The 12,554-nt window shown below is 47.5% G+C and overlaps 1 annotated feature.

Annotated features, from left to right (window-relative positions):
- Positions 11,738-12,278: an enhancer, noted in NCBI's record as "H3K4me1 hESC enhancer chr1:48056158-48056698 (GRCh37/hg19 assembly coordinates)". NCBI's record gives its function as "activates a minimal SCP1, AML or CMV promoter by ChIP-STARR-seq in primed H9 embryonic stem cells {active_cell/tissue: H9 hESC(primed)}" and the evidence as "EXISTENCE:reporter gene assay evidence [ECO:0000049][PMID:30033119]".

Raw genomic sequence — 12,554 nt, 5'->3', positions numbered from 1 at the left:
CAGGCAGGCCTCCTTGAGCTGCAATGGGTTCCACCCAGTTCGAACTTCCCGGCCGCTTTGTTTACCTACTCAAGCCTCAGCAATGGCGGACGCCCCTCCCCCAGCCTCGCTGCCGCTTTGCAGTTCGATCTCAGACTGCTGTGCTAGCAATGAGTGAGGCTCTGTGGGCGTGGGACCCTCTGAGCCAGGCACAGGATATAATCTCCTGGTGTGCCGTTTGCTAAGACCATTGGAAAAGTGCAGTACTAGGGTGGGAGTGACCCAATTTTCCAGGTGCCATCTGTCATAGCTTTGCTTGGCTAGGAAAGGGAATTCCCTGACTCCTTGCACTTCCTGGGTGAGGCAGTGCCTCGCCCTGCTTTGGCTCATGCTCAGTGTGCTGCACCCACTGTCCTGCCCCCACTGTCCTACGAGCCCTGGTGAGCTGAACCCGGTACCTGAGTTGAAAATGCAATAATCACCTGTCTTCTGCATCGCTCACACTGGGAGCTGTAGACTGCAGCTGTTCCTATTCGACCATCTTGGAACTGCCCCCATTGCCTGTTTTATATATTAATCATTTTCTTTCCCCCAATCCTTTTTAAAAATATTCTCCTGTTTCATTTTGCTTGCTTTTCTCGTTTTTATCCTCTAGTTCACTTACTGTTTTCCTCAAAGTACATTCTCCTTTGTACTCATTCTAAGCTATCTTCATTTCTGGATTTTTTTTTTAATAATCCTTTCTTGGATTTTGCCAGCTAATGTATTTTTTCTTTCTGTAATCATACCTTTTCTTCCCTGGGCTCTTTCATCTTTGTTTTGTTGTCTTACTTCATATAGGCAATAGCTCCAAAAAGATTTTTTAAATTCATGATAATGTTTGGTCCCAATTTTTATCTGCTCTGTGGCAACCTTTCTCTGGGGAGGAGTCCTTGTCCATTAATAAACTTCTGAATATTTTCCTTTTATCTTAGTACAAAAAATTATCTTTGTATTGATGCATTTCTTATAATATCTTTGTATTGATGCTCTGTTAGATCCTTGTTATAACTCCTCATAGCACTAAAAATCTTTGCTAGCACTGAATAAGTTGAGTTCAGTTTTCCTAGATTTTCCACTGCCAGACAGGAGAGTACTTTGGTTAGGGCAAGATGGAATCCCTTACTTGCTGGTTTTTACTAGAAGGGCCTCTTCTCTGCTGCCACAGAAACAAATTGCTTCTGAAAAGAGGTTCACCCTTATGATTTTTTGTGTAGACCTGCATCTTCAGTTTTTCTCAACCAAATCAAGTCCAAGAAGTCTTTTCCCTTTAGCACGTTTCACTCCAGTTATCGCACCTGTTTTTGAAAATAGGAGATATAGCTTTTGCATCTCTGAATATATACCCCTTACCTTTAGGAAGAATATTTTTGCCTAGCTATCTCATCAAAGAGATCTTTCTGGGAGCTTCTTTCTCTTCATTTCCTCCTATTTATTTTCTTCCTAATCTCAGCTTCTTTGGACAATTCTTACACATACTTGGGAGTCTTGGGTAATACCTGTCCTCAAGTTTTGCCAAAAATAGAGTTTATTTTTTCATCCTTTTTGTTGCTTTTGGATGATTTCTAAGAGAAGGAGAAATATGCTGATTTATACAACCATATCTATTCCAGATGTACACACTGTCTTAATTACCAAGATTTTAAAATAAGTCTTACTTTTTGCTAGGGCAAATTTAACCACCTTGTTTCTTTTCTTCAATTGTTTAACTGTTACTGAACCTTAGTTCTTTCATGTAAATTTTAGAATAAGTTTTAAAAATTATATACACACATACACACACACACGCACTGTTGGTATTTTATTTTAATCCTAATAAATATATTATTAATTTAGAGAAAATTGGCACTTTCATAACATTGACTCTTCCTATCCATTAATATTATATATTTTTAATTTATTTGGATCTTTGATATCTTAAAGTTTTATATTTTTTCCCAAAAGGTCTCTTATATATTTTGTTAGATTCATTCCTAAGTACCTTATGTTTTCTGTGCATATTATAAATGCTATCTTTTTAAATGTTTATTTTTAATACTTTGTTGTGGTATATGGGAATACAATTGATTTTTGTACATTGATCTTATTTGTAGTGAGCAAATTCACTTAGTTCTCACTCATCTTAATAGTTTGTCTGTAGATGCTCTTAGGTTTCTACATAGATCATTATATCCTATCATAATCAATCACAATCTAGTTTATTTCTTTATCTTGCCTTACTATTCTGGTGAGGAATTCCAGGTCAACGTTTAATTGAAACAGTGATTGCAGATATCCTTGCATAATTCCTAATTTTAAAGAAAGTGCTTCAAATATTTTCCCACCACATACTGTGTTAGCTGTAAGTTCTTGGTAGAAACCTCTTTTCAGGTTTAGAAATATCCCTTATATTACTAGTTTGCTGAGATCTTTATCATAAATGGATATGGAATTTCATCAAATCCTTTTTCTTAATTCATTGGGACCATTGGTTTTTTTTCCTCTTAACTTGCTAATATTTGGGATTGAGTTAATAGATTTCAAAATGTTACATAATCTTTGCATTAATGAAATAAACACAACTAGTCACAATGTTTTAGTAAACTGCTGGATTTGGCGATTAAGGGATCATTCGTTAGTCTTATTTATCTTCACGACATCCTTTTCCAATACTTTATTTTTAACCTTTCTGGGTCCTTATGTTTTAAGTGTGTTTGGGGTAAATAGCATACAGCCAAAATGGGGTAGATAGACATATTTGTTTATTTTTGCCCAATATTACCATCCTTATCTTTTAACTAGAGATTTTAATCCATTTACATTTACTGCAGTTCCTCATATATTTAGGTTTATATCTACCATCTTATTTTCTGCTTTTTGCTTACCCTGCTTCTCTTTGCTTCTTTATTTACTTTCATTTTCCATCCTCTTTTGAATTAATCAAGGCTTTTCTTTAATTCATTTTTTCCTTTACTGGTTTATAAGTTATACATTTTATTTCTACTTTTTTACTAGTTACCTTTAAATTTTTAACATGCATTCTTAACACAATCTAAAATGAAGTAATATTTTTCCTCCTCCCCAACAATACAAAGACTTTAGAATGCTTCAACTTAAATTACTCTTCTTCCCATCTTATACAATATTATTCTCCAGTATTTTAGTTCTACCTTGATTTTTGACCCCCAATTAGTCATAATCCTTAATATTATATTATTGTTTGACAGTCAGTGTTTGTTTACATGTATCCTCATATTTACTTTTCTTACCCAGCGTTCCTTCTTGCATCACATTCCCTCTTTCTGGGTTCAGTATCCTTCTTCCCAAATATGCCTTTAGAAGTTCCTTTAGTGAAGGTTTTTGGTGATAAACTCTCTCATACACGAGCTCCCCTTGTTTCTCCTCTGTAATTACTTGGATGTGCTTCATGGTCCCCATATCCCACTTTGTCTCTTTGAGGACTCTCACTATGCTTATTTTAAATTATTGTTCCTCCTGGTCTGTTAGCTCTCTCCCTCAGATGCAATCATCTATATCTCAGATGCAATCAAGGATTGATGGGAACTGGGAAGGTGGAAAGCTCAAGGGTTGATCCATTCACTGCATGTGTTATTATCACTGTCACTGGTGTTTTCTACCCTGCAGTGGCAACAGGATGGGCAGTGACCCATTGAGGGCAATGTGGGGGAAATTCAAGAATGCCACATAATCCTATGGCCCCTGTACTCCTCCTTCTGGCTTCATGACTGGCTTTGTGCCCTGGACTCCCTGGGGAGAGATGTCTTTTCTGTGAAAGCCAGAACTTTTGCATTAATTGCACTGTCATTTGGGGCTGGTTTCTTTTTTAAAGCAAAAAAAGTAGATCAGAAACGGTCTCGTTTGATGGTCTGTTTTCAAACTGTTGCCTTTTTATCAACCCAAACCTCAGCTCTGGGGAGATTTAGAAGATCATACGTTTCTTGTATTTGTTTAGTGTCCTAATCAGGTCCCAGTCAGCTTTGCTATCCAGTCACCACTCACATAATAGCCTTCCACAAACCCACAACAAACTCCCGAAGAGCCAGGCAACATACATGGAGCTCCAAGGCCTTCCGGAGTCGCTTACCCCATGCCGGCCACCCCACACACCCAGGAACAAAGTCAGACACATTCAACCCTCCCATGCATATCACATGCAGCCTGTGTCACCTACAAGCACACACATACCACACACGCATGCTCATCCTGGCACGGGCTCACACTCTGGCCCACAGACCGGTCAACACACACTCACACACATTCTGTTTGGGTAATAAAACCTAAAGCAATGCCAAAGGCCCTGGCTGCACAAAGCTGAAGTCAAATCTTCAAACTTCCCTAGAGCCTTGGAGGTGAGTATAAAGGCAATCCTCACCCACCGTTTCTGAGCCCTGAGGACAAATGCTTCCTGCCTTGCCTTTGAGGTCAGGAGCCTTACACATTTAGTGGTGGCTTTAAAAGTCTTTCATTATAGACATTTTGGTGTTGTACTTTTCTGAACAAAAATGGAGTCTATTTCCTTTTCCAAATTCTAAATAATCATACACAAGAATTTCATAGCTTCACAGAATAAAGGTGCTTTGTGGACAAAAGATTTTCCTTGAAGAAAAGCTGCAATGCTGCACCTACTCTCCATGTGCCCCTGCGACCAATAGTGCCCCATGCCTGAGGCTATGATCAGTCTCAGGGTATCACCATGATTAGGGCACTTATCATTCTGCATCATGGATGGGATTTTTAAGATCATGGTCCAGCACTTATTTGACTAAGGAAGAGGAGACCAAGAAAGGGGCACAGCTGCCCAGGGTCACCAGGACACTCTGTGAGGGCAGTACTCTCAGAGGGGGGATGTGGAATCCCGAGGTGTGCAGAGGCTCCGTGTTTGGGGAGATAAGCACCAAAGATGGCTCTGAGTGACGTCATCTCTAAAAGGGGGATCAGGATGGTTGCTACATTAGGGGTGGGTTGAGGCTCAAATAAGATGCATGTATTGTCAGGCGTGTAGTAAGGACTCAAAAAATAAGCACACACACTCACACACACAGTACTACAACGACAGCCAGCCCCTCACGTCTTGGTGGCACACCTGGTACAGCTACCTCAAATCTTCCACCAAAGACAGCGTGCCACCATCACCATGGTCATAGGTATGTAAGGAAAAGAGGAAGCACCCCGGGGGAGAATTCCTGGTCCTAGCCTCTCACCCCACAAAAAAACTCACTCTATGACTTTAAACAAGTACTGTCTTCTCATTATATGAACTAGATCAAGTCACTGAACTTTTTTTTTTTTTTGAGACGGAGTCTCGCTCAGTCGTCCAGGCTGGAGTGCAGTGGTGTGATCTTGGCTCACTGCAAGCTTCGCCTCCCAGGTCACGCCATTCTCCTGCCTCAGCCTCCCGAGTAGCTGGAACTACAGGCGCCTGCCACCACACCCGGCTAATTTTTTTTTGTATTTTTAGTACAGACAGGGTTTCACCGTGTTAGCCAGGATGGTCTCTATCTCCTGACCTCACGATCCACCCATCTTGGCCTCCCATAGTGCTGGGATTACAGGCGTGAGGCACCATGCCCGGCCTTCACTGAACTTTTTTAAAATTAATTTTTATTTTTATTTTAAGTTCCAGGGTACGTGTGCAGGATGTGCAGGTTTGTTACATAGGTAAACGTGTGCCATGGCGGTTTGCTGCACCCATCAACCCGTCACCTAGGTTTAAGCCGAGCATGCATTAGCTATTTTTCCTAATGCTTTCCCTCCCCCGACCCCTACCCCCACAGGCCCCAGTGTATGTTGTTCCTCTCCCTGTGTCCATGTGTTCTCATTGTTCAGCTCCCACTTATAAATGAGAACATGTGGTGTTTGGTTTTCTGTCCCTGTGTTAGTTTGCTGAGGATAATGACTTCTAAGTTTTAAGGGACAAGTATAGTACAAGCTCAGAAGCCTGTTTTCAGAACTAAAGAAAAAGCACATTGAGCACTACCCAGAGTGCCAAGCAGCCAGCTCTCGGTGATGTCCGCCATTGTGACTTTTTAGTTTGAGAATTAAAGTGGCTTCTTGACATGCTTTAATAGCAGGGGTCTGGACTGTGGCCTGGCCCAGGGGTGGCCACAGAGCCCAGGAGAACCCTCAGTGAGTGATCTGAGAGGGTTGTCATAGGCCTGAGATGATTCCTCTTCCCTGACCATCCCATACCCCAGGCCTGGCTTCTCTGTGTCTCTTCTGGAACCGAGCTAAAATGACTATTCATCTTGTGGCCTTGTGGGCGGCTGTCAGGTTTATAAGGACTTGACTTTGACAACACAGGCTGCTGGACCAGCAGCCGGGAGAGTGTTTGCTGCCCAGGCCCAGCCAGGTGAGGTGGGCCAAGTCAGTGGGAAAGAGATAAATTAGGGCTCTGTCCCAAAGAGGTGAGAGCACCAGACACATGTCATGCAACACTGTAACAGCAACTGACAGTTGACATAATTTGGCTCTGTGTCCCCACCCAAATCTCATGTTGAATTGTAATCCACAATGTTAGGGAAGGGACCTGGTGGGAAGTGATTGGATCATAGGGGCAGATTTCCCCCTTGCTGTTCTCGTGATAGTGATTGAGTTCTTATGAGTTCTGGTTGTTTGAAAGTATGCAGCACTTCTCCCTTTGCACTTGTGCTTGTCTCTCTCTCTCTGTCTCTCTCCTGCCACCATCTGAAGACATGCTTGCTTCCCCTTCACCCTTCCACCATGATGGTAAGTTTCCTTAGGCCTCCCCAGCCATGCCTCCTGTACAGCCTGTGGCACTGTGAGTCAATTAAACCTGTTTTCTTTATAAGTTACCTTGTCTTAGTTAGTTCTTCATAGCAGTGTGAGAATGGACTAATACAACAGTATTGGTCCATTTTTTCTACATCGGTGCCACTTGGTCTGTAGTCTGGCAGCCCTCAGCTGTCAAGTGGGAGCAGGACAGAAATGCAAATTCTTGAACCCCCATCCCAGACCTACTGAATCAAAATTTCCTAGGTGGAGTACAGCAATCTGTTTTCACAAGCCCTCCAGGTGATGCACACTAAAGTTTAAGAAGCACTGTTCTATATTACCTCCTATTATATTATCTCTATTTATCATCATTTTCCAGAAGCAGCAGCTGAGGCTATAGCAGGTTAAGGAACTTGCCCAAGGTTTTAAAGCAAGGAAGCAATGAAAGCAAAATTCAAACATGGGTGTAGCTGACTCTTCCCTCGCCCATCTGGGGGTGTTGAGTTCCTTGGCCTAAAGGAGAGCTACTGGAAGCTGGAAACCCCTGCTTGTGGAGGGGCTTCCTGTCTAAGGTGGTCTTAGTCCATTTTACATTCCTATAAAGGAATACTTGAAGCTTGATAATTTATAAAGTAAAGAGGTTTGCTTGGCTTACAGTTCTGCAGGCTATTCAAGAAGTATGGCACCGGCACCTGCTTCTGGTGAGGGCTGAGGAAGCTTCCAATCATGGCAGAAGGTGAAGGGGGAGCAGGTGTGTCACATAGAAAGAGATAGAGCAAGAAAGTGGGGCGGGGGTGCCAGGCTCTTTTAAACAACCAGCTCTCCAGTGAACTAACAGTAATGCACTCATTACTTCAGGGACAGCAACAAGCCATTCATGAGGGACTCACCTCCATGACCCAAACACCTCCCATTAGGCCCCACCACCAACACTGGGGATCAAATTTCAACATGAGATTTGGAGGGGACAAATACCCAAACTATATCAGGTGGCAAACCAGTGGCCTCAGCCCCAGCTTATGACTTGAAGTTTAAACTCTAAGGCTCAACCCAGGAGTTCTACTGTGGATGAGTTGGTAAGTGATGAGGTCTGGTGGGGACACATGCTGTGGAGAGAAGAGAGGGCCAGAGCCAGCTCTTGGAGAGTACCCACTTCGGCTCCTGCCAGCTGCCCTCGGCAGTACCTGCCCACATGCTCCCCTCCCTGGAAGACCACCGCACCTGCCAGATGCCAAGGATGAACCTGGTCTAACCCCCCAGACTCGAGCTACCCAAGTATATGGCTGGTCTTACTCTTCTCTGACCCCATTGCCCAGCTGAGGGCCTGGCTGATTGTCTGTGAAGCTGCATGGTCAAGTGAAGCAAGGAATAAACCACTCCTTTCTGGCAGATTGACTAGGAAAGGCACCAGGCAAGGCCTTGCAGACCTTAAGTTGCATAAATATGTGGGCAAGCAGGAGGTTGTGGGAAATGTGTTCCTGGTGACAGCTACAGACTGAGGAAAAGCATGGCAGTAGGAGAACGTGGAGTGTGTTGTTCCAGCCTCTCTCTAGTGCTTTTGAGGTAAGAGCATGAAAGGTGGATTTGGAAGCCATCATAGAAGGCCTGTACTGTCAATAGAGGGATTTGGGTTATTCTATAGGTACTAGGGAGCCATGGAAGGCATTAGAACAGGAGAGTGATGGGATCATATGGAGTATTGGGCTGTAGAGGGATTGAGCAGAACCCCTGTGCCCTGAAGCCTATTCTGCGCCAAGCACTGCACCTACTGCTTCCTGAGTACACCCTCATCTTAGAACTGAGGCTCAAGGTGTCTGCTCAAGGGAGCACAGCTAGTAAGCAGCAAAGCAGAATTTGCACCAAGATCTGTATGACTCCAGAGCGCAGGCCCTGGCTCCTCCACTACTGCTCAATCTCTGTCTGAGCTGTCTCCAGGGTTTGACTCCTGGGTGGGAGCGGGGCTTGGAGGTTTCCTGCCTCTGCCTAGAGTATAAAGTCAGTGCTGGGACCCTGGACCTTCATGGGGACTCCCATGGGGTAAGCCTGGGGCTTAGGGGTGCAGGCAGGTGGAAAAGATGCCCAGGAGAGGAGGGTGTGGGCCTGAAGGGCAGAGTTTGGCTGGGAGGCAAAGCCTGTCCCCAAAGCCCTTGCCAGGACTCCTGACCTGAGCTCTGAACCCTGGGCTTGGAGGGCCACCTCTCTGCATGGGAGTGCAACGGGGTTGGCGGGGTTGGCGGGCCTGGAGCTGGGGGCCGAGGGGCGGGGTCGGGGTGGGGGAATGGGGTGGGGGGTGTCCAGGGCAGCAAGCTCTAGAAGGCAAAGCGTGGGATCGGGTGAACCCAGTATCCCCCTTTCAGATGGACCAGAGACCTCCAAAATGTCTTTGATTCCACGAGATCTTAGAAACAGGGAGAGAAAACGAGAGACAGACTGAGCCCCACCAAGACAGAGAGGACGAGAGAGAGCCCCGCGGGGCGGGGGGAGACAGAGAGAGGTCCCGCGCCCCGTGGGCGCTCCAGGCCCGCGCAGCCTTGCTCGCTCTGCACGCAGCCACCGCGGTCCAGCCAGGGCGGCAAACTGGAAACAGCTGCGGAGGTTTTGGGTTTCCGCCCGGCCTCCCCCTAGCCCCTGGCTCTGGCCCACCCGAGCAGTTCCCCCTTAATCCCGCTCTCTCGGGAAGCTGTGCTGTGAAAATCCTCCGCCCTGCTCTGAGAGGTCAGCCCCGGGCTGGCGGCGGCGGGCCGCGGAGCAGGAGGTGCGGGCCCCGGCGCTGCAGACCCTGCGGAGACGGCCCCCTCTACTGCAGGCGCCGCCTCATCTAATAAGCGGGGCTGATAACGCCTTCCGCGCAAGACCGCTGGGAGACCTTCCCTGGCACCTGGCAGACGCGCGCAGAACCTTCACCAGTCCGGTTTTGCCAGGATGCTCCACTCACTGAGCGCCTTTTTCTAATTGTTCTAATTCGCACGAACAAGTCCTAAGGGCTAGTGGCAGCCCTGCCTCCCCTTCCCCCTCTCTCTCCCAGAGCCTGGGGATGAAGTCTGTGCCCAGCCAGTTACCTGGGGCATAGACTCAGTAGCCCCAGGGGATCAGTCCCCAGTCCAGTTCCTCTAGCACTTCCTGATGCCCTCCCCGTGCGCCAGCCCTTCACTGAATCCCACTCAGCACCTGCGCTCAGGAGCTGGGAGATAAAATTACTTTCAATGGGTCACAGGACTTTGCCTCTGAAGCTGGGAGATCAGACAGGCCTCATCGTTCCCTTTGATCTTGAGAGGGCATCCAGGCTCATCCATTCGGCACCCAGAGTGGGCAAGGGGCTTACTCAAGATCACCAGCAGGTCTGCGACAGGCCCACGACTCCTGAGTTCCAGTCCAGGTTTTGTTTCATTTTATTTTGAGCACTGTGCCAGCTCCAAAAACTGCTCACCTGGCAAGGTTTTCCTAGCCTCTTTGCCCCAGTCCTGGGCTCAGCTACAATAGGGAGCACACAGGTCAGGGCAGCAGGTGCAGCAGGCAGAGGCCTTGGCGGGGAGGCAGCTACAGCACTGGCCTGTTCAGCCCCGACGGCATTGCAGGCGCTGCAGGTGAGCTGTAGCTGGGCAGCAGGATCTCCGAGGGCCTCTGCGGCCCAGATGCTCGATCCCCTGAAAAGGGCTTCTGGGTTCTGAGCTGGCCCCTCACTGCCAGCTCTCAGTGCCCCTCCTTCCTGCCGCCCACTTCAAAGGAAGAAAACCCTTGGGAAGACTTGGAGTCACCGGGAAGCAGGTGTGCTCCACCAGGCCTCCCTGCCTCTACATGCTGCTGGCTGTGCACACACAACACAGAATCTCACGCACACACACCATGCAGTTACACACGCAAACACACTTTCACCTCACAGACCCACACGCACATTACACACACAACACAGTTACACACGCACACTCACCTTCACCTCAGACTCACACACACTACACACACAACACAGTTATGCACACTCACCTTCATCTCAGACTCTCTCACACACTACACACACAACACACAGTTACACACGCACACTCACCTTCATCTCATAGACACACACACTACACACACACAACACACAGTTGTGCACACTCACCTTCATCTCATAGACTCACACACTACACAGAGTGACACATGCACCTCACCTTCTCATAGACTCACACACACAACACAGTTACACACGCACATGCGCACTCACCTTCACCTCACAGACACACACAACACGCACAACACAGTTACACACGCACACTCACCTTCATCTCATAGACTCATACACAACACACAGTTACACACGCACACTCACCTTCACCTCATAGACACACACAACACAGTTACACACGCACACTCACCATCTCATAGACACACACTACACACACACAACAGTTACACATGCACACTCACCTTCACCTCAGATTCACACACACACTACACACACACAACAGTTACACACGCACACTCACCTTCACCTCACAGACTCACACACTACACACACAACACAGTTACACATGCACACTCACCTTCATCTCACAGGCTCACACACACCCACCTACTACAGTTACACACACACACACACACCCCTTCACCCCACAGGCACACACACACACACCCCTTCACCCCACAGGCACACACACACTAAAGTTACACAAGCACACTCACCTTCACCTCACAGACTCACTCACACACACACACACACACACCCCCTGTCATTGCTGTGCCGTTTCATGCTCATGCACAGAGGCCTCACACAATCTCACACTCACCCACACTCAGCTTCACACACATTGCAAGAGATGTCCTCTTGTTCACATGCACACACAGCCTCACACTTGTACACACCTCTCTCAGGTGCCCCCAGTCCGTCTTACTCTCACGGGCACACACCCTACACACCAAGTTCCCTCAGTGCCCCTGGCAGTACAATAAAAGGGACCCGGACATCCCACCTGGTTCCCTGCAGTGCAAACAGCCAGGCCCCGCCTTCCCCGCTCCCCAGAGGGCTGGGCCTGGGAGGAACAGCTCTGGGTGGGATTCCTTACAGGAAAGTGTGTGGCTAGGAAGCCCAGTCCCAGGACACATGCTGGCTGGCTGCTCCCAAACGTGAGCTCTTTATCCTTCCACAGGCTGAAGGCTGATGCTGTTCTTAAGGAGCTCACCCCCACTATCTGCCTCCCACCCACCCTGCCCTGCCCAGCAGGCTGCCAGCTGCCCACCCAAAGGAGGAGAGAAATCAAGCTTGCACCCCCGACCTGAGTCTCAGATTCACACCCACCCTCCCACCTTCCCATGTACCAGAGGTGCCTTCCTGAAAACCCACTCCCAGCATGGCACCCTCAGACCAAACACCATTGGTAGCTCCCATTCCACTACTGGGCAAAACCCAGACTCCTTAACCTGTCATTCTAGGCCCCCCTGACCCCAGCCTCCCTCTCTATCCTCAGCTGATGCTGAAAACTCCCCCATTTCATACACACACACACACACACGCACACACACTTTCAAAAATATCTTCACTTCCTTTGAGGTGATCTTCTCCAGGAATATGGGAGGGAGGCAGCAGCCCCAGCCCCACTCCAGGAGCACAGGGCTCAGTTTCTCCATTTAAACAGAGGGGCTGGCCAGCCATGCATGGCCTATCTTGCAGAGCTAGTGAGAGGGTGCAGTGGCAGTCTTTCAGAAGCTTAAATGGCTGTATACATGGAGGTACCACTTCGTATTACAGGAGCTACTCCCAATAAATTTTCTCTTGAACGACCTCTCTCCTCTGGGCCCTAGACCAGGGCAAGGAGCCCGACTTGGACCTC

The sequence above is a fragment of the Homo sapiens genome, chromosome 1 (assembly GCF_000001405.40).
Source record: "Homo sapiens chromosome 1, GRCh38.p14 Primary Assembly".
Lineage (NCBI taxonomy): Eukaryota > Metazoa > Chordata > Mammalia > Primates > Hominidae > Homo > Homo sapiens.
The sequence above is the reverse complement of the archived record's forward strand: the minus strand, read 5'-3'. Positions and strand labels throughout refer to the sequence as shown.